Source organism: Homo sapiens, chromosome 12 (genome assembly GCF_000001405.40).
Source record: "Homo sapiens chromosome 12, GRCh38.p14 Primary Assembly".
NCBI classification, from domain to species: domain Eukaryota; kingdom Metazoa; phylum Chordata; class Mammalia; order Primates; family Hominidae; genus Homo; species Homo sapiens.
Window position 1 is genome coordinate 11,012,436 of NC_000012.12, and position 22,681 is coordinate 11,035,116.

The 22,681-nt window shown below is 37.9% G+C and overlaps 4 protein-coding genes and 1 long non-coding RNA gene across 7 annotated transcripts in view; all 5 read right to left on the reverse strand.

The window, feature by feature from the left end:
* Positions 1-22,681, reverse strand: part of PRH1-PRR4 (PRH1-PRR4 readthrough) — a 325,777-nt gene that overhangs the window by 166,587 nt on the left and 136,509 nt on the right. The window contains exon 3 of the long non-coding RNA NR_037918.2: positions 22,347-22,450. This is a non-coding gene — a long non-coding RNA (PRH1-PRR4 readthrough). The remainder of the gene's footprint in view (positions 1-22,346; positions 22,451-22,681) is intronic.
* PRH1 (proline rich protein HaeIII subfamily 1) overlaps positions 1-22,681 on the reverse strand; it is a 290,647-nt gene that overhangs the window by 131,471 nt on the left and 136,495 nt on the right. The gene's annotated exons all lie outside the window — the stretch shown is intronic.
* PRH1-TAS2R14 (PRH1-TAS2R14 readthrough) overlaps positions 1-22,681 on the reverse strand; it is a 234,202-nt gene that overhangs the window by 75,026 nt on the left and 136,495 nt on the right. The window contains exon 3 of the mRNA NM_001316893.2: positions 22,347-22,450. Coding sequence (NP_001303822.1) covers positions 22,347-22,450 — 104 coding nt within the window. The remainder of the gene's footprint in view (positions 1-22,346; positions 22,451-22,681) is intronic.
* Positions 9,184-10,185, reverse strand: TAS2R19 (taste 2 receptor member 19). The gene has a single exon (NM_176888.2). It carries the CDS (start codon positions 10,134-10,136, stop codon positions 9,237-9,239), a length of 900 nt encoding a protein of 299 aa, NP_795369.1. The 5' UTR covers positions 10,137-10,185; the 3' UTR covers positions 9,184-9,236.
* Positions 17,952-18,972, reverse strand: TAS2R31 (taste 2 receptor member 31). The gene has a single exon (NM_176885.2). It carries the CDS (start codon positions 18,898-18,900, stop codon positions 17,971-17,973), a length of 930 nt encoding a protein of 309 aa, NP_795366.2. The 5' UTR covers positions 18,901-18,972; the 3' UTR covers positions 17,952-17,970.

Genomic DNA, 22,681 nt, shown 5'->3' on the forward strand with positions numbered 1-22,681 from the left:
GTGCTAGTATAGTATATGTATAACTGCTTTCAATTTTACATGTTCAGTGCAGGCAGGAACCGAGGATTATTAGTTATTCTTTCGATTCTGTGTTACTTGATACTTAAAAGATACCAGTGAAAACTTCCACTTTTCCTTTTTTGTTTTGAGAAAGGATGTTGCTCTGTCGCCTAGGCTGGAGTGCAGTGGTAGTTCACTACAGCTTTGTACTCCTGGGCTCAAGAGATCCTCCCACCTCAGCTTCTGGAGTAGCTGTGACTATGGGCGTGCACCAACACAGCCAGCTAATTTTTCAGTTTTTTTGTAGAAATGGGGTCTCCCTATGTTGCCCAGTATGGTCTTGAAAACATGGGCTCATACGATCTTCCCACCTTGGTCTCCCAAAATGCTTGGATACAGGCGTGAACTGCACCTAGCTGAGAACTTCCATTTTTGAGCAGAATACAGAAGGTTCAGAAAGGCAAGATATCCTTCTGCAACAACTAGGATAAGAGTAATAAAAGGCAAAAATTATATATTCAATTCATCACAGAGTTGTACAAGCAAGGAGGGCCAGCTGAACTGAAATCCAGCACAAGGAGAGTCTTTGCAGGTGAAGGGTCAACTTATATACTCAGTGCAATCCCTATCAAATCCCAACAAGCCTGTTTTGCAAAAAGTGAAAAACCAGTCCTAAAATATATCTGAAAATACCCAGTGACCAGATCACCAAAATAAATCTTGATAAAATAACACATTTGGAGGATTACACTTTCTGGTTTCAAAGCTAACTACAAAGCTGCACTAATCAGAATTCTGTGGTACTGGCATTACAGTAGACAAAAGAACAATGAAACACAACTGAGAGTCCAGAAATTAACACTGACATTGATGGTAATTGATTTCAAAAATGGTACCACTGCAGTTCAATAGGAATTAATCATTTTTTCAACAAATGATACTGAGAACATTGAATATCCACATGCATAAAGATAAATTTCTATTCTTATTTCACACCATACACAAAAAATAACTCATATTTAATTGATTATAGAGCTAAATGTAAAAAGTGAGATTAGTAACTAAGATACTAAAACATACTAACTGTACAATTGCAAGTAATACAAGTGGGTTAATCAACCATAATTCTATCTGTGTATTTCTCTACTTAGATCATTATGTCTATAATAATAATAATCCCCTGCCTATCAATCTATTGATATTAAAATTACTATTTTAAATAAAACTAAATTAGATGCTGGGCTACCCTCAATCTCATTTAGTGGAAATTCAAGCAAAAATATTATTGATTCTCCCTAGATTTTTATTTTTTGAGACATGGTCTCACTCTGGAGCCTAAACTGGAGTGCAGTGGTTTGAGATTGGCTAACTGCAATCTATAGCTCCCAGCCTCAATCTGTTTCCCACCTTGGCCTCCCAAGTAGCTAGGACTACAGGTGGACACCACTATACCTGGCTAATTGTTGTATTTTTACTAGAGACTGGGTTTCACCATGTTTCCCAGGTTGGTCTCCAATAATTGGGCTCAAGAAATCTGCCTGCCTAAGCCTCCCAAGGTGCTCAATTACAGGCTTAAGCCACAGCATCCACCCTGGTACTGTTACTTCAAAATGTACATTTGACATTTGAAGGAAAAATATTTACATAATGTGCTATATGCCAACATGCGTGAATAAATAAATAATATAAATGGATAATCAGCCTTATTCCTGTCTGTTGAATCACTTGGCTACATTGTCAGTAAAGAGATTACATGAGATCACCAACACAACAGGCATCATTGTAGAGATTGAAGAATTGAGACCTTGGGCAGTCTGATATTTTCAGTTTAGAGACAAAAGAGAACTAGCAAAGGAGATTGAGAAGTAGTGCCCAGTGGATAAGGATAAAATCAGGAGAGGGCAGCATCCTGAAATCTAAATAAACTAAGTTCAATGCAGCTAATAGAGCATGCAACATGATGACTAACCTTGGGAACATAGACTCTCTGGTGATCTTGCAAATGTCAGAATCAATGAACTGATGACAGCATCAGCTTCTTGGAATGAGTTCATAAGCCAATAGTTAAAGAGGCTTCATACTTTGAAAAATACTTATAAACCAAGAGCAAGCCTTTTCACTTCAAAGGCTGAAAAACTGATTCCTGAGGTCAGCCTTTGAAGTGGAAAATCAAAGAACCTCAACCTGTTGTCAGGACTGAGCCAATTCCGAGAACAAGAATTCAATAATTGAAGGAAAGTGTAAGTCCCCTTGAAAAGGATGCTGAAAATTCACCACAAGAATATTCAGGACGTATTCATACGGTGCTTTCTCAAAGACCTGTAGCCATTTCCCAGATAACAGTACCCAGAGGAAAGGACACACATCCACACCATCTGAGACTTTTAGGTATAGGGCTCTTACAGTAGATAGTTAGTCAGGCATGAGCGGGGCAGAAGAAGGCTCTCACCACCCACCAGGAATGTCAGGTGGCCATCAGGTGATGGCCTGGCAGTTGTCACACTGCCTCTCTAAAAATGATAATTGCTCACAGGCACCAGGGAGAGGCAATTTCACAATAAGTAAAGATGCTTAAAATTGCTAGTCAGCAGCTCAGGAATAGGGCGAGTAGGCTGAGGCATACGTGTTAAGAGAGAAAAGGGTAGAAAACAACCTTCTGGGGGCATTCCACCAAAAAAGGGAAGAATGCCTCATGCAAGCATGTGTACAACTCCAGTAAACACACTGCGCATGCTCACCTCCAAAGTGTTAGCAGGCCACCACACATGTGAGCAGCCCACCCTAAGGGGCTGAATCATGGGAAAAGGAACACAAGACCCTAAGGGAAGAATCGTGGGAAAAGGAACACAAGACCCCAGAAGTATACCAACATATAAAACCACAAGTCAAAGGTCTAACACTGCACTTGACCTCCAAAATGCCCACTGTGGTCTCTTCCAAGTGTACTTTCCTTTCTTTCCTGCTCTAAATCTTTTTAATAAACTTCCATTGCTGCTCAGAAACTTCCCTCAGTCTCTTTTTCCGCCTTATGCCCCTCAGTTGAATTCTTTCTTCTGAGGAGGTTAGACTTGAAGTTGCTGCAGACTCGTACCAAATTGCCTCCAGTAAACCAGATATTGGCCACTCCAACAGAGCCTGAACTAACAGTAATATCTGGGTACTCAAAAGACACTGCAGTCCATGAGATGAAGTGGGAGATTTTTTAAAATTTTCTTTTTGTGTGTGTGTTATTTGCATTTGGGTTTTTTAGATACACAGTCTCAATCCTTCACTTAGGAGGTATGTAGTACAGTGGCAAATCATAACTCACTACAGCCTTGAATTCCTGGGTTTGTAACAGAGTGCCCCATTTTTTCTAAGAAACAGGGAATGAGTTACTATTTTTTTATTATTATTTTCTCTTATCTCCCCTTTCCTTTTGTTCCCTGTTTCCTGCTTAGCCCTTCATAAATGCAAATATAACCTTTCACCCCCACTCACTAGACATTCCCTGCAGGGCACGTTCTTCTAACTATGTGCAGCAAGACAGATCTCTTCTGAGAATTGACAGTCAATTTGCAGACCAAAGCACACCCACCAAGGAATGTTTACCTCCAGGAAATGGACTTGGAACTTCCAGACTGTGCTCCACTCTGGGAGTTGCCTGAGGACTTTCACCCAACAGAAGGGCATATTGAAAGCATACCCACTTGGCCACTTTTACAAGTTACTTCTGCACAGGAAGGCACCAATTCAACTGTCTGATAGATAAGGCACCAAGCCTGCATGAGGACCCTCTACCCTTGCTCAGTATCCCTCCTTACCTTATAAAAGTGTCTGCTTTCTGCTCCAAAGGTGAAGTGGTACACTTAAAGGCAAGACACTTTGTGCTCCTTCCCCAAGCTAGGTTTGGAATAAATTCATTACTTTTGTACCAGACCTCACTTTTGTTAACTGGACACTGCATGCGGCCAGCAACGGACTCGCATATTGGTTATAGGTCCAAAGGAGTCTCCTGTCTCATCTTTCTGGGTAACTGGGACTACAGGTGAGTACCACCATGCCAAACTAATTTTTTGTTGTTGTTTTTTCTGTTTTTTAGTTTTTGTACAGACAGGCTGTCACTGTGTAGCCCAAGGTGGTCTGCAACTCTGGGCCTCAAGAGATATTCCCACCTCCGCCTCCAAAAGTGCGGGGACTGCGGGCATGAGCCATCATACCCAGCCTGCAGAGGGAGTTTTGAAGGTCAGATGCTACCTAGAGTTTTGACTCATGTCCATCCCAAGGTGGATCTAATCAGTTTGCCGTTATTGCCTCTTCTTGAATGTGTAATGGACACACATGGCAGCTGGCAGGACTCTCACTTTCTTCCTGACCTGTAGAGTCAGGGACATTATTAGAGCAGAACCAAGGGGAAGCCTGTGAAATTCTCCTCCACTGGCAACAATGATTGAAAAATAATAATCACATTCTCCAAGGAATGGAATTGATCACTACCATGACAAAACACTTGAAAGTTGCAGGGGATGGTAGTCTTTTTATATGCCTATCCACTTAACCTATCTGGCCTCTACCAAAACCAGATACACTATAAAATGAATGCAGATTTCCATAAATTTAAATCACTACTTACAAATGCTCTCTAGGATGTGGTATCTTCCCTGAGCAGAGCAGAGCTCCTGGCAGTTTGCATGTGGCTCTTGATTTAGTGAATGTTTCTTATTTTACACCCATGGGTGGGTCAGCAGATTAAAACAATTGGCCTTTGTGTGGTAAAAACAAGAGCACTGCTTCACTGTTTTATGTCAGGGCTTTGTCACTTCTGCTCTCAGTTTAATTTACATTTTGGAAAACATCATGTTAATTTAATATATTAATAATGTTACGGTAATTGGTACAATAACCAGGAAATGGAAAGTTACCTAATTATAGTAAAATACTTAAACATTAAATAGAAATAAAATATCAGAAGAAAGAGACATGCCTGAAAATATTTAGAGAACACCAACGCAGATATTGTTTTCAGGGGTCCCATATTCCTGGTCCACATGTTGAAAAATCAATTAATTAATTTATTTATTTATATTTGAGATAGAGTCTCGCTCTGTTGCCCAGGCCGGAATGCAGTGTTGCAATCCCGGCTCACTGCAAACTTCGCCTCCTGGGTTCAATCAATTCAAATCCTTCAGCCTCCTGAGTAGCTGGGTTTACGGGCATTGGCCACCATGCCTGGCTAAATTTTTTTGTATTTTTTTTTAAGTAGAGATGGGGTTTCACCATGTTGCTCAGGCTAGTCTCAAACTCCTGGCCTCCAGTGATCTGCCTGCGTTGGTCTCCCAAAGTGCTGGTATTACAGGCGTGAACCACCATGCCGAGCAGAAACATCCTGTTTAAGGTAAATGGCTTCCTATATACTTCCTATCACTAAAAGAGAAGCACGGCGTTTATTGAGCCTCTAGGGATTTTGGAGTCCAAAAATACCACAGTAGAGGATATTGCTCTGATGTGTTAATAAAGTCCTTTTTAAATCCCTGTTCAGTTAACCTACCTAGCCTCTGCCAAAACCAGATGGGTTACAGAATGAATGCAAAGACTCCTGGTTTCAAGTGGAATCCAGAACATATAATATCTCTACAGCAGATACAGGGTCTGGCCCAACCTGCTCGGCCCATTGTGCCAGATGATCCAGCAGAATTCAAAGCTGCTAGAGGCATGCAACGTGGGCATCATAGGACTCTGTGCCTGTCTCCATCAAGCCCGTAGGAGAGGAGAAAGCAAACCCCTAGGGAATTACTGCAGAACTATTCCCTCTTCAGTGGAGGATTATCCGCTGTCTGAAAAATAAAAATGCAAGTGCAGAACATTAATCCAAGCAAAAAGCCCCTCAAGCACAAGACCCCGTGCAACTACACAAGGCATCTGCTTATAAAACCAGCCACAGTTGGAGGGCATGAGCACATCTGAGTGGCACAAGGAGGGGACTATATTGGACACAAACATGTGCTTCCTCAGATTCCCTTGACTGTCTCCTGTTCCCATGGTCAGCACCTTGCCTGATCTAGATCATCCTTCCACCTGGGACTTGAATGTATCTGTGGGCATGAAGTCTTGTAACAGAAAAGCTTAGTTGCTCACTTCATGTAAAGTCTAATTAACAAGAACAAGGTCTGATATAAAAATAGAGAATTTATTTGGAAGTTAGCTTGCTGGAAGGGGCACAAAGCATCCTGCCTTCCAACGTGACACTTCATCTTTGGAGCAGAAAGTGAACGTTTTATAAAGTAGGGAAGGAAATGAGCAGGACAGCAGTTGTAAAAGTGGCCACGTGGGCATCCTTTCCACATCCCCTCCTAATGGATGTGAGGTCTAAGGGGAACCCCTGGAGGTGAGAGTTCCATGAGGGCATACTTTTGTCTGCAAATCAACTGTCAAGTCTCAAGGAGAGATCCCTCGTGGAGCACATAGTTAGATGAACTCGCCCGAAGGGACTGTCTGGTGGGGGGAAAGTAAACAGTTCTATGTGCATGTCTAAAAAGTTAAGTAGAAAGCGGGGAAACATAGGGAAAGGGGAGAGGAAAAGAGAAAAAATAAATTAAAAAAAAACTATCTCTTAGAAAAATGGGGGTATTGGTTAGTGTGACTTTCCCAAACAGCCACCAAGGGGTTGGATAATGTAAGGAAGAAAAGCAAAGATGGTAGTTCTGCCTCAAACAAACTTTGGCCAAAGGGAAATAGAAGACAGAAGACAGCTAGGATACATTCTCCCTTTTCTCTCTTCCACGGACTAATATTTGTTGTGGCTTCCCCTTGTAACCCTTCTGGAAAAGTATGGAGAGCCAAGTGCATGCATCTGATGACCACCATGCTGTCTGTCTCACTAATTGTGAAGTGGCCACCAGCAAAATCATATCAACATCACGACACATGGTTTTACATCTTCTTTTGCCTCAGTTTCCACATTTACCCCTCATTGCTGCCCTGGACTTGCCTTCCCAAATAAATGTCATCACTGTAAACTCAGACATTGGCTCTAGTTTTAGACACCAAAAGCTAAGATATACATTCAGTTGCATCACTTTTCCATGCGTTTATAACATGGCAATTAAAACATTCATTTAGAAAGGATACTAAAAAAATATACAAATAATGTGTAAGAAAGGTGACTGGTTACAAACTCAATTTTTAAAAATGAAATGCCTTTTTGTGTATATGATAACCAGCTAGAAAATATCATAATACAAATATATCATTCATAGTAGAAAGTGATTAGGTACATTTCCAACCAACTTAATCAGTTGCAAAGTTTGCTAGCTTTTATTTTTACTTCTTTTGAGTTTACTTCTTTTGTATCAGCAAAGCATTGAAGGCAGCATAAGTCATACTGAAGGAGAAAGAGACGTTCCCTAAAAACAAAAGTGTGTTTGGCAGCTGCTGGGAAGTTCCCTAACATTCTTGTCATGGGGTCTGCTAGCCCCGAGCAGCTGGCACTCACAGGTGACCCTGACCCTGTGCAAATATACCAAAATCTTTAATATGCTTTTCAAAAAGCATTAGAATAAGTGCCATCTAATTTTGACGTTCCACCTTGTCTCTACTTCACACACCTGATATAGCTGCATCAAAGCTATATTACAGTGATATTTCCCCTAGAATTGTGGACTAGCCAAACTTTTGCTCTGAGAAATGCTTCTTCTTCAAAAAGCCTATAACCTCAACCTGAAAATAGAAAATTCAAGCAACTGCAGATTTTATGATGAGCTTCATTTTCACTGATTTACCACATCAAATTATCCATTTATCCAATCACTTATGTGTTCATTAACATATCATTTTTGACCAACTATTCTTTGTGCTGGCTTTTAGGTCCTGTGAGTCAAGAGAAAGCGAGACAGATATGACCTCTCTTTTTATGGTGATTACATTGTACTAGGGAGGACGTATGATAAGCGATATATATATATATATATATATATATATGTCTATAGATATAGATATAGATACATAGATATATATATGATGTGGAGTTAACTTATTTTAAGTTCTACATAATAATGTTAAAATTTCATAACACCAAGAATTAACACAGTCACACAGAATTTAGCTCTTCAACAAGGCTGTACATTTCCTTCTTATAATAGAACTTGGTATCAATGGATACATCAACACACTGTGTAATTTCACCATTTACACCATTATAATAATACATATCATTAATACATTTCCTATCAATTATATAGATTTCACAGATTTTTATGTAATTTTTACATAATTTTTAACATTTGAGGAAAGTTTCATTTGATTATCTTCTATAGTTTCTATACCCTCCTTTGATTGGCCTGTTTTTTTAAGATAGAGAATATTTGAGTTTTTTTGAGGAATATTAGGAATGGGAGACAAAGGAGAAAATTGGAAATTCAGGGGCTCAAGGTGGCTAAGAAAAACAAATGGAAATACTTGACATCAGATGTCAACTTCACAAAAGGTTTCCTTTAATTCAAAAAGTGGAAGCAATGACTTTTCTAACTACAGATAAAAAAATTATAACAGCACTGAAATGATCATCAGCATGTTTCTTCATTCCTATTATAGAAATGATTTTTATTCTAGGCTATTCACATACTGGTATTAAATCTAGTATTCTTTAGTACTGTTTTGGTATACATATACAAAATTTACTCTACATATGTTTTTCACTCCAATTTTATTGTGTGCATCATTAACTAACAACAATTCTATTTGCTTTCTACTAAGCATAAAATAAGAATTCATAATGAAATAAAACCTACCCCAAAGATCCATTCTTATCATTGATTTAAAATTGAATGTCTTTACCATCCAAAAAATTAGAGGTTCACCAATGATAGTTAAGCACATATATGTGGTACAAATTACAATGGAAAAGAGAAATGATTTCTTCATAAAAGCTGTACGTTCTTAATTATAAAGAGAGATAATAAATTCTTCAAATGAAATACTATACAATGAACTATAATAAAATATAAATACTATATATGTGAAATATACTCAGCTTCATAATTTATGGTCAACGTTGTTATTCACACACATGCACACATATACACCCATAAATATATATATGACTTTTCTAGGTATCTGTTTTGAAATTACTCACATACAAACACTATGGAAAAACTGATAGAAATATAAAATGTTCCAGACACCATCAGTTTGTTTTCTGCTAGAAGACCCACGATGCTCCCCTTGTGAATCTATGGAGTTGAGGGTTTCTCTTCTTTCACTCAGCGTGTCATCTGCCACAAAACTGAAAGAAAGGTCTGTTTTAGCTTCCTACTTCCCATAATCAGGATGAATGAGTGGAATGAAGGATACATGATTGCAACAGTTTGGCAAAGCAGGAGTACAAGTTTGCTCTGCTGTGTCCTAAGATTCCAAGTTGATGTGATTATACACAGAAAGTAAATGGCAAATAACATGAGGAAGGAGGTCACAGTTTGCAAAGCTTTTATATGGACCTTGGTGCTGGGATCTTGAGATCCTTTGCTATGGAGCCGCATCTTCTTGAGATGTTTACAAAGAGAACAGATTAACAGCAGAAAACATATTAGGCTCAGAGTAAAGGGTATGAGGTTTGCTAGAGTAGTTACAGTCAAGCTTGAAAGGTGTATTGCATTCCTCAATTTGATCTTCCAAGTCACATTTCCTTCATATTCTTTTGTCCACACTCTCTCATCCATGGTTATCACAGCAAGATTACAAATCAGAAATACCAAGGGCCCCAACAGTATCACCAGAACAACACTCTTAATTCTCTTCTTTAGGTGGAGAGAAATAAGGTTGGAGAAATTGGCAATCTTGAGCAAACAAAATATGCTGAGGCTAGCAGCAAGCCACATGCTGAAATGGTTCGTTACAGCCCAGGCATTAGAAGCAACAATTCTTACTTCTAAACCATATAAAGCAGAATTAAACACAGTTGCATACCAAAGGAATAACATGACCCAGAGTAAACCAATTCTGGAGACCACCAGAGCAGTGAGAATTTGCTCAGCTGAGGAGATCTTTCGTGTGTTAACCCAGTCAATGACATTTACTAGGGCTATGAAGCCATTGGCAACATTTCCAAGAACAAATGCAAACACTACCAGAATTGATGAAATGATGAGCAGAAAACACATCATGTTTGAACAGATAAAAAAATGCAGGCTTAGTAACACTTGTTCTGAGTCCTTTAACATCCAGATGTTAACTTCGATGAACACTTGATTACTAAATGTGCAATAACATTTTCTGCCTTTAAATTCAGTGACTAGTGTCAACAGGCAAGCACCAGCATATGCTAATAGATGAATTCAAAACTGTCTTTATAGAAATAGAAAAGGTCATTATTCTCAAAACAGCTCAAATTCACTCCTCTTCATATACATTCTCTCCTTGCTATATGCTGTACTTTTTTATACTGAGGTTGAAGTGGAAAATGAATTCTCATGTGTTAGTATGCAAAGAAAGGCATATTATTTTTCATTGTTTTGCAATTTTTTTCCTTGTTTAACCTCTCCATAATTTGTATACAGCATCTTCAGTTGTTCCATAGGGAAATTGTAAAACCCAATACATATATCATATAGTAAATGTCTAAATTGTTAAAGGAGCTTGGTCATAACTAGGATCATACCAATATGGACTTATTTTTATGCCAGATTTAAATACCAGATTCTAAACCTTTTATCAAAATCATCCAAGATTATCTTGGAAATCCCTGGGAGGCTGATACACTTTAAAATCTGGTTTCTGATAACCAATAAATTGATATGACATCATTGTTAATAAGCTCCTAAACACATAGACACACATGCACTCACACCCTTAGGGCATGGAAGGAATTATTTTCTTATAATTCCCCAAATGGAAAATGAGTTTCCAGGAACTCATCCAGGTGGTATTAGTCTTATTTTCCAACTCAGGGCTGTCAGACAATGAATAATATTTATCAAACATGTTTCTCAAGCTTAGGCCTTTGGTATATTTACACTCAAGTCTGTTTTGTTTAAACATTAATTATTTAATTAAAATGTTCAGCAATTTTGTAAATATTTCTAAGTACCCTACTCTTTGTCACATAATCCTGCAGTACCCTCCCACCTCAGGCAGGGTGACTACCTTGACCTTGGACTCTGAATTCACTCACGTAATTTGCTTCAGTCAACAGGAAATTAGTAGAATTTACAGAGATTTAAGATGGCTTCCATATTGAAGTTTCCTGCTCTTTTCCACTAACCATGAGGACATCATCTGGCTAGCACACTGTTCCCAGAAGAAGAAAGAGAAACTAATGGAGTCAGAATGCCACTGCCTTATCTACCCTAAATCAGCCAAACTAGCGGCAAGATGCAGTACGTGGCCCATCTCCAATCACCAGAGCCATCCACCAAACCTAGGTTAGAAAAATGTAATCCAAAGACATAATGATACACAATTATCTAACTCAGTTTTCTCTTGCAGAAAAACATAAGTGATGTAGGTATTCTGCTAAATCAGGAGTGTGGGAAATATGCCCACCATTGTTGTGTCAGGAATTCAGGATCGAAGGAAAAAATAGAGAATGTCCAAGTTTTGTCATATGAAGTGGGTAATTAAACCTAAAAGAAAAACCTATTCAGAAATCTGTGGTTGGCAGGTAACATCATGTCAAGTTTCCTAAAGTTGCAACTAAAATCAGAAAGTTTCTACTTAAAATCTCTTAGAGTTACACATGAATGTATACAAATAGTGGATTTTTCCCTTCAGTATATAATGAGCAGAGTAATAATAATTTTCATGGACCATTTCTCCTAATTAATAATTTTTATCATATAGCTAGACTGCACACTTAGAAATGAACCAAAACAAAAATGGAAAACATAGCAATGTGTCATAAACACTCATGTAACCATCATGTAGGGCAAGACATGGAACATTGCTAAGAGCCTAAGTTTACCTCAATGCCACTTTCTAATTCCCTACACCTTTCTTCATGTCTCCTGTGATAAGCAACATCCCTAATTTATGATGGTCTTTTTTTAATATTCTTTATACTTTACCAATAAGGTATTCGACCCTAAACTCAATAGCTTGGTTTGGCCTGATTTGATCTATGTATAGGTGCAATCCTATATGTTCTTATTCATGGCTTCCTGGAATCAACATTTTGTATCCAAAATTTAACCCCATCATTGCATGTACATGTGATCCATATCTTTTCACTTCTCTATATTTTTTTCATTTTTTGATTTTACTGTAATTATTTATCCATCCTTATTTGATATATATTTGGACAGCTTATTTTTTGAGCTTTTATGAATAATGCTACAATGAACATTCTTTCACATATCATTTGCTACAATTCCTCTGTGTATATATATCTGGGTGTAGAATTACAGGGTCCTTGATTATGATGTTCAAATTCTTCTCACAGACATAGAAAAGCCCAAAACACAGTTTGACTAAATTTATTCCTGTTACCTTTATCTCCAGCCTCTTTATTGCTATTTGCATATATCTTATCAATTATACATTCAATCCAAGAAGACACTATTGTTTTATATAGTCAACATTTATTTAGAATTACACACTTAGTTTTCATTGTCATTAATTTTTTTTTTTTTTTTTGAGACATAGTCTCCCTGTCACCCAGGCTGGAGTGCAGTGGCACGATCTCTGCTCACTGAAAGCTCCGCCTTCCGGGTTTAGCCATTCTCCTGCCTCAGCCTCCGGAGTAGCTGGGACTGCAGGTGCCCGCCACCACGCCAGGCTAATTTTTTTTTATTTTTAGTAGAGACGGGGTTTCACCGTGTTAGCCAGCATGGATTGTCATTAATTTGTAATGCTCCTTGCGTGTTCAACTTTGTATTTTCAGTAATTTTATTTTATCTGAAAAATATCATTTTCAATTTCTGTTTATGAAGGTCTACTACTCTTTGGAAACACATTGAAGACATGATTCCCATTAATCCATTGAATTCCTGCTTCCATGTTTTCTGTTAAAATCAGGTTGTATTTAGAATACAGTTCTTTTCAACATACTCTATCTTCTACCTCTAGCTACTTTTCAGATTTTCTATTGGTCTTTTGCGTCCTGTATTATTTTATGTTAATTTGGTTTTAGTTATCATGCCTGAAGTTTGAGATTACTAAAAATATATTCAGGGATACATTTTATACCTTTTGGAAAAATCCTTGCAACATTTCTCTTGCTCTATTTTCTCTCCTCTAATCTTACAGAACTCCAGAAGTATGTTAGGTGTTCTGTCTGTAGCATCAATGTGTTACCCTCTAGCTCTGTGTATTTCCATCTCTTCCCTTCTATGCTTCATTCTGTGTAGCTATCTTCCAATTCACTTATTCTCTCTTGTACTGTATCCAACTGGTTAACTCTGTCTATTGGATTCTCAATATTGATAATTCATTTTTTCAGTCTTATTGTTTTAGTGTTCAGAATAATCTTTTATTCTCCTTCCATAAATCATTTTCTATGGGGAAACTGAACAAACTACTCTTAACACCATGTTCTTTTTAAAAGTGTTTTTGACTTTTGGAGTTTTTAGTTTTTTGTTTTACTCGATACTGTTTTACTTGATGTTTAAGATACCGGTGAGAACTTATACTTGTTTTTTTTTCTTCTTCTGAGACACAGTCTCCCTCTGTTACCCAAGCTGGAGTACAGTGGCAGGATCATAGTCCACTGCAGCCTGGAACTCCTGCGCTCAAGCAATCCTCCTGCCTCAGCTTCCCAAGTATTTGGAACTATAGGCATGCACCAACACACCAGCTAATTTTTTAAATTTTTTGTACAGACGGAGTTTCCACATGTTGTGAAGGGAACTCCTGCTCTCAAGGGATCCTCCCACCTTCGCCTCCCAAAGTGCTAGGACTGCAGGCATGAGCCATCACATCCAGCCTGCAGGGGGAGTTTTTGAAGGTCAGATACTACCTAGAGCTTCGGCTCATGTCCATTCCAAGGTGGAGCTAATCAGTTTGTAGTTACTACCTCTTCCTGAAAGTATAATTGAAATAGATATGTATGGCAGCCGGCAGGACTCACATTCTTCGTGAACTGTAGAGTAAAGGACATTATTATAGCAGGACCAAAGGGAAGCCTCTGAAATTCTCCTCTACTGGCAACAAAATATATAAAATATAATAACCGCATTCCCTAAGGAATGGAACTGGTCAGTGCCGTGACAAAACACTTGAAAGTTACAGGGGATGGTAGTCCTTTCTATAAGCCGATTCACTAAACCTATCTGGCCTCTATCAAAACCAGACGGGTTATAGAATGAATGCAGACTACCAGAAACTTAAATCAACACTCACAAATGCTTTCCAGGATGTGCTGTCTTCACTAAGCAGAGCAGAGCTTCTGGTACTTTTTACTGGGCTTGTGATTTGCTGAATGGTTCTTAATCTACACCCATTATGAGGAAAAATCAAAACAATTTGCCTTGTATCATAATAATAACACTGTGTCACTGTTTTATATCACGGCTATGTCACTTCTGTTTAATTTACATTTTTTAAAACATCGTGATTATTTAATATATTAATAATATTACAGACCAGGCCCTGTGGCACATGACTGTAATCCCATCATTTTAGGAGGCCGACACGGGAAGATCATTTGAGCCCAGGATTTTGAGACCAGCCTGGGTAACACTGTGAAATCCTAGCCCTACAGAAAATACAAAAATTAGCCAGGCGTGATGTTGTGCCCCTGCAGTCCCAGCTGCTAGCAATGCAGAGGTGGGGGAATCACTTGAGCCCAGAAGGTTGAGGCTGTAATGAGCTGTGATCCTGCCACTGAACTCCAGCCTCAGGGACAGAATGAGACCCTGTCTCAAAATAATAGCAATAATAATAATAATATATTACTTGGTACAATAATCAGGAAGTGGCAAGTTTCTTAACTATAGTAAAATACTCTAACGATGAATGGAAGTAAAATACCAGAAGAAAAGAAATCAACCTGAGAAGATTCAGGGACCTACAGCATAGGTGATGTTTTAAAGCATTCAGTGTCCCTAGACCACACGTTGAAACAATCTTTTTTACAGTATATGGCATGTTGCTCTCTCTATAAATTTCCTATCACTACAAAAGAGACACAATGTTTTGGGGGCCTATTGGGATTTTGGAGACAACATATTCCACATTTGAGAATATTGCTCTGACTCATTAATGAAGTTTCCCAGGCTGCTGGTCTCAAGTGGAATCCAGAACAAATGAGGGCTCTACAGAAGATATAGACTCTGCTCCAAGCTGCTCTGGCCACTGAGCCAGATGATCCAGCAGGATTCAAAGATGCTAGAACATACATAGTGGTCATTATAGGACTCTGTGCATGTCTCTGACAAGCCTGTTGGAGAGGGGAGAGCAAATCCCTATGGAATTAGTGTAAGACCATTCTCTCTTCAGCAGACAAGTATCCTCTGTCTGACAAACAAAATAGCAAGTGCAGAATATTAATCCAAGCATAGAGTCCCTCTAAGCACAAGTCCCTATAAGCACAAAACCCTATGCAACTGTGGACGTCATATGCTCATAAAGCCAGCCATGACTGGAGGGTATGAGCACGCCTCAGTGGCACAAGGAGTGGCGGTACTGGACACAAACATGTGCTTTCTCAGATTCTCTTCACTATGTCCAATTCCCCTGGCCAGCACCTTGCCTGATCCAGGTCATCCTTCTATTTGGGACTTGAATGCATCACCACACTGTGGGCATGAGGTCTGACTTTCATGACCACCACCAAGGGACTGGATGATGTAAGACAGAACAGCAGAGATGATAGTTCTGCCTCAAGGAAACCCTGACCAATAGGAAATAGAAGACTAATGACAGATGAGCAGATACATTCTCCCTCCTCTCTCTCTTCCATGGACTAATGCCAGCTGTGGTTTCCCCTTGTAGCCCTTCTGGAAAAGTGCTGGAAGCCAAGTACATGCATCTGATGACCATCATGCTGTCTCTCTCACCTCACTGTGAAGTGGCTGCCATCAGGGTCATACCAGACATCACCACACATTGTTTCACATTTGTTCCGGTCTCAATTTCCACACGTCCTTGCCATTTTTGTCTTGAACTTGACTTCTAAATAAATGGTAGCACTTCAATAACAGGTATTACATTAAAAACATTTTGGTAAAGTAGCTGGTTACTAACTCAATTTTTTGAAATGAAATGTCATTTTTGTTTAAATAATCAACTAGAAAATATCATAATACAAATAATTGACAATAGAAAAAAATACATATTCAAATAGACCAAAGTTGTTTATATGATTTTTCAAACTATTATAATAGGTGCCATCTAATTTTGGTGTTCTACCTTGTCTCCAACTCAGACACCTGATACAGCTGCATCAAGACTATATTATTGTCATATTTCCCCTAAAATTGTGGAATAGCCAAACTTTTCCTTAGGAGAAGGATTCTGCTTGGATAAGCCTGTAATCTTAACCTGAGACTGGAACAGGGGAATTCATGCAACTGCAGATTTTGTGTGAGTTTCCTTTTCACTGGTTTACCACATCAACTTATCCATTTTAGCCACCCATTTATTTGTTCATTAAAGTATCATTTTTGACCATCTATTCTTGGTGCTGGTTTCGAGTTCCTGGGAGTCAACAGAAAGCAAGACAGACATTATCTCTTTTTTTACAGTCCTTACATTGTACTGAGGAAGATATATGATTAAAAAAATACACAAATCAGGTGGGGGGATGATTCATCTTAAGGTTTAAATCACATTGTTTAAATTTCATAACACCAAGAATTAATACAGTCAAGTAGAATTTAGCTGTGAACAAGACTGTACATTTCTTTCTTATAATAGAACTTCCTATTAAAGAATATGTCAACACCCTTTCATTTCATCATTGATGACAAAATTACAACGTTAAGGCTCATCTCATAATTAATACACAGATTTCATAGATACTTTTTTAACATTTACAAAAAGTTTGACTGAAATATTTTCCACAATTTATATATTATATTTACATTGATTTTATTTTTCAAAAAGAGAGGATTTGAGTTCTCTTATCTGAAGTTTAGAAGGAATTTCATAAATGGAAGGTAAGGATATAATTAGCAATTCAGGGGCTTAAAAGTGCTTTAGAAAGAATACTAAAATAATTTGCATGAGATCTCAACTTCAAAAACAGCTTTTCTTTAATTCAAAAGCGGAAGAAATGACGTTTCTAACTGCATATGCATAACTGATGATACCAATCCAGATCATGATCATGATATTTCATCCCTTTATTAGAGAAGGGATTTTTTCCTAAGCTATTCACATATGAAATCTAATATTCCTCAGTACCGCTTATGGTAGACATACATTAAATTTACTCTGCATATGCTTCTCACTCAAATTCTACTGTGTGCATTCTTTTCTAACAATAATTCTCATTGCTTTTTACTAAACATAAAATAGAAATTCATAATGGAATAAAACACCAAAGATACATCCTCATTATTGATTTAGAATTGAATGACTTTACCATCCAATAAATTCGAGGTTCAAGCAATGAATTCTAAGCACAATGTGGTGTATTCCTGTGGTTCAAATAACAATAGAAAAGAGCAATATTTATCCTGGGATAAGCTGTTACTTCTTAATAATTATAAATAGACATCATAAATTCTACAAATGAAATATAAAATACATGAATGAAATATACATGGCTTCAAAATTCTAAGAAATTTTTGTCATATTTTGTATAATTTGGCAGTTTGTATGAAAAAAACAGAAAAGAGCATGTTATTGTCAATGTTCTTAAGTTTTCATACACACATAAACACACACATATATATATTTTTTTTTCTAGACTAATATTAGGTCAAAGGCTTTTCTAGGTATACGTTGGGAAATTATTCATACACATACAGTATAGAAAAACCAGTAAGAAATATAAAATGTTTCATACACCACCAGTTTGTTTTCTGCTAGAAGACACACAATGCCCCTCTCATGAATCTATGGAGATGAAGGCTTCTCTCCTTTCACCCAGTACCTCACTTGCCGCAAAACTGAAAGAAAAGTCTGCTTTAGCTTCTTGTTTCCCCAAATCAGGATGAATGGGTGGATTGAAGGATAGCTGAATCTAATAGCTTTGCAGAACATGAAGACAGGTTTGTTTTCCAGACTCCCAAAACTCCAAACTGATATCATTATGGACAGAAAGTAAACGGCACATAACAAGAGGAAAAAGATCACAGTTTGCAAAGCTTTTATGTGGACCTTGGTGCTGGGATCTTGAGATCCTTTACCATGGAGCTGCATCTTCTTGAGATGTTTACACAGAGAACAGATTAACAGCAAAAAACATAGCAGGGTCAGAGTGAAGGGCACTAAGTTTCCTAGCGTGGTTACAGTCGCATCTGAAAGGTACACTGCACTCCTCAATTTGATCTTCCAAGTCAAGTTTCCTTCATATTCTTTTGTCCGTACAATCTCTTTCATGTTTATCACAAAAAGTTGACAAGCCAAAAATAGTAAAGGCCCCAACAGCATCACCAGAATGACACTCTTAACTCTCCTCTTTAAGTGAAGAAAAATAAGGTTGGAGAAATTGGCAATCTTGAGCAAATAAAATATGCTGAGGCTAGTAGCAAGCCAGTTGCTGAAATGGCCGGTTACTGCCCAGACATTATAAGCAGTAGTTCTTACTTCTACACTATAAAAAGCTGGATTAAACACAGTTGAATACCAATTTAATAATAATACCCAGAGCAAACCAACTCTGGAGACCGCCAGAGCAGTGAGAATCTGGTCAGCAAAAGAGATCTTTTGTCTCTTGACCCGCTCAATGGAATTTACCAATGCTATGAAGCCATTAGCAAAATTTCCAATAACAAATAGAACCACTACCACACTGGAAAAAATGATGGGTATAAAAGTTGTCATGTCTGAACAGACAAAAAAAAATTGTTTTAATGCTGGTGTTGTGTCCGGAGTTGGTTCCTGCAGGTGGGTTCGTGGTCTCCCTGACTTCAAAAATGGAGCCACCGACCTTCACGGTGAGTGTTGCTGCTCTTAAAGATGGCATGGACCCAAAGAGTGAGCAACAGCAAGGTTTATTGAGAAGAGAGAAAGGACAAAGCTTCCACCGGGAGGAAGGCGACCCAGGCAGGTTGCTGCTGCTGGCTGAAGCCATGAGCTTTTATTCCCTTATTTGTCCCCTCCCATTTTCCTTTTTTTGTCCTATCAGAGTGCCCTTTTTTCAATCCTCCCTGCCATTGGCTACTTTTAGGATCCTGTTGCTTGGTGTATTTTAGAGCGATTGGTGCATTTTACAATCCTCTTGCTAGCTACAGAGCGCTGATTGCTGTGGTTTTACAGTGCACTGTTTGGTGCATTTTACAATCCCCTTGCTAGCTACAGAAACGTTCTCCAAGTCCCCACTCGATTCAGAAAGTATAGCTCGCTTCATCTCTCAATGTAATATAACTGGGTGTGATTGCTTGAATATCCTGACCTTAAATTCTATATGCACCTGATTTGTGAATGTGCTGTGACATTCTTTTTACTTTTAATTGTTGTGACCAGTGTCAAGCCAGAAATAACCATGGCATGTTAACTGATGAGTTCAATGATCTCTTTATGGAAAACATTCTTATTTTCAAACAACTCAAATTAACTCATTCATTCACTGTCTGTTCTTGTTATAGGCTGGAATTATTCACACTGAAATTGACGTGAAACCTGAATCCTCATTTGCTAGTACGCAAATAGGGACATATTCACTTTCAGTGTTTGCAATTTTTCCTTGTGTAACCTCTCCATCATTTATCTTTAGTGACTTCAGTTGTTAGGGAAGTTTTGTAACTCAATATATATATCATATAGTAAATATCTAAATTCTCAAAGGGAGCTTGGTCATAACTAAGATCATCACCAATGCGGACTTTTTTAAATCACAGATTTAAATACACAGAATCCTAACTGCTTTTATCAAAGGCATCTCAGATTTTCTTGAGAACCACAGGCAGGCCACTACTCCATAAGATCTGGTTGCTGCTAACACTTTCGTATAACTTCATTATTCACAAACTCATAAATATGCACACAAATATACACATGTGCACACCACTTATGAATGGAACAAATTATTTTCTTGTAATTTCCAAAATAAAAAATGAGTTTCCAAGAGGCTGTGCAGATGAAATTAGTCCTATTTTCCCACTCAGGGTTTTCAGCCCATGAATAATATTTATTTATCAAAAACATTATCTCTAATTCTTAGGACTTGGTAAAGTTTCTCTCAAGTCTAATGTTTAAATATTATTATAAAAAATATTTAGCAATTTTATAAGAATTCCTCAGTACCAGACCCTTTGATATATAATCCTGCAGTATCCTATCACAGGAAGACTGACTACCTTGCCCCTGAACTTGGAGTTCAATCATTTCACTTACTTTGATAAACAGAAAATTACTACAGTTTGCATAGAGATTTGAGATGGCTTCCATACTGGGGATTCTTCTTCTTTCCATTTACCATAAGAGTATGGCCTATCTAGTACACTGTTCCCAGAAGAAGAATGAGAAACTAATGACGTGAGATTGCTGCCACCTGATCCAGATTAAATTGGCAAAACTCTAACGTCCTCCAAGATGTAGAATTTGGCCCATCTCAAATCACCACAGCCATCCACCAAACCCAGCTTAGAAAAATAAAATCCAGGCCCAGCGCAGGCGAGGTTGAGGAAGGCAGATTACGAGGTCAAGAGATGGAGACCATCCTGGCCAACATGGTGAAACCCCATCTCTACTAAAAATACAAAAATTAGCAGGGCATGGTGGTGTGCACCTGTATTCCCAGCTACTCGGGAGGCTGAGGCAGGAGAATGGCATGAACCCGGGAGGCGGAGGTTGCAGTGAACTGAGATTATGCCACTGCACTCCAGCCTGGGCGACACAGCAAGACTCTGTCAAAAAACAAAACAAAACAAAACAAAACAAAACAAAACAAAAAACCAACATCAAACGACATGTGAGATATAAATATCTAATGTAGTTTTGAAGGGTCTTCTCCTGCAGAGAAACATAACTGATAAAAGAACTCTTAAACCAAGAGTGTGGGAAATATGTACAACCTTGTTGTGTCAGGAATTCAGGAGCCGAAAGAAAAAATAGATGGGGAATGGCAAAGGTTTGTCCTGTGAGGTCGATAATTAAGGCTAGAAGAAATCCTTTGGAAAGATCTGGGGGTGGCAGATAACATCATCTCAAATTTCCTCATGTTGCAACTAAATAAGAAAGTTCCTATTTCAACTATCTTAGAGTTGTATAGGAATGTATACAAATAATTGATATTTCCCTTCAGTATATAATGAGACGAGTAATAATAATTTCTATGAGATATTTCTCCTAATTACAAATTTGTATATTAAAGTTATAATGCGCACTTAGAAATGAACCAATACAAAAATGGGAAATACCACAGTGTATCATAAACACTCAAGTAACCATGATGCAGGGCAAGACAAGGAACACCTAAAACAGGCTAGATCCACCTCCATTCCACTTTCCAAGTCCCTAAACCCTTCTTCGCATCTCCTGATATAAGCAATATCCATAATTTATAATGGTTATTTCCTCAATTTTCTTCATACTTTACCAACTAGGTATGCAACCCTAAACTCCATCGCTTGGTCTAGCCTACTTTGAACGCTGTATAGGTGCAATCCTACATGTTCCTCTTGTTTGTGGCTTCCTGAACTCAACATTATGTTTCTGAAATTTAGTCACATAGTTGCAAGCACATGTGATTTTTTTTCACTTCTCTATATTGTTCCATTGCATGGAATTACTGTAATGATTCATCCAACCTTAATATGTATTTGGCCAGTTTCTTTTTTGAACAGTTATGAATAATTCTACTAGAACATTCTTTCATATATCATTTGATACAATTCCTTTGCATATATACCTATGAGTAGAATTATATTATCATTGTTCAAAATCTCCTCATAGACATAGAAAAGTTCAGAAAATAATTTAACTAAACTTACTCCTGTCACCTTTACCTCCATTCTATTTTTTGCCATTTGCATATGTCTTATCAATTGTATAATTACCCCAACAAGACATTATTATTTTCTAAACATTCATTTAGAATTATGCACATATTTACCACTTTCATTAATTTGTATTCCTTCTTGCATATTCAACTTAATATTTTCAATAAGACCCTTTATTGGCCAGGCAGGGTAGCTCACACCCATAATCCCAACATTTTGTAAGGCTGGGGCAGGAGCACCCAGGAGTTCAAGACCAGCCTGTGCAACACAGTAAAACTGCCTCTACAATGAATGAAAAAGTTAGTCAGGCATAGTGAAGCTACTCACAAGGCTGAGGTGGGAGGATGGTTTGAGCCCAGGAGTTCCAGACTGCAGTAAGCCATGATCCTACCACTGAACTCCAGCCTGGATAACAGAGTGAGACTCCAACTCTACCAACAAAAATAATAATAATAATATTAATAATAATTTTTCTTCTATCTGAAAAGATGTATTTTAAGTTTCTGTTTATCAAGATCTATTCTACTTTTGAAATACACTGAAGACATGAATCCATTGAACTCTAGCTTTATTTTTGTCTGTTGAAAATCAGCTTGTCGTTTAGACAGTTATTCCCTTTAACATAATCTATCTTTTCCTCTAGTTACTTTTCAGGTTTTCTA

Excerpts from the sequence above, each read along its gene's own strand:
- TAS2R19 (NM_176888.2), bottom strand. The coding sequence starts at position 10,136 with ATGATGTGTTTTCTGCTCATCATTTCATCAATTCTGGTAGTGTTTGCA.
- TAS2R31 (NM_176885.2), bottom strand. The coding sequence starts at position 18,900 with ATGACAACTTTTATACCCATCATTTTTTCCAGTGTGGTAGTGGTTCTA.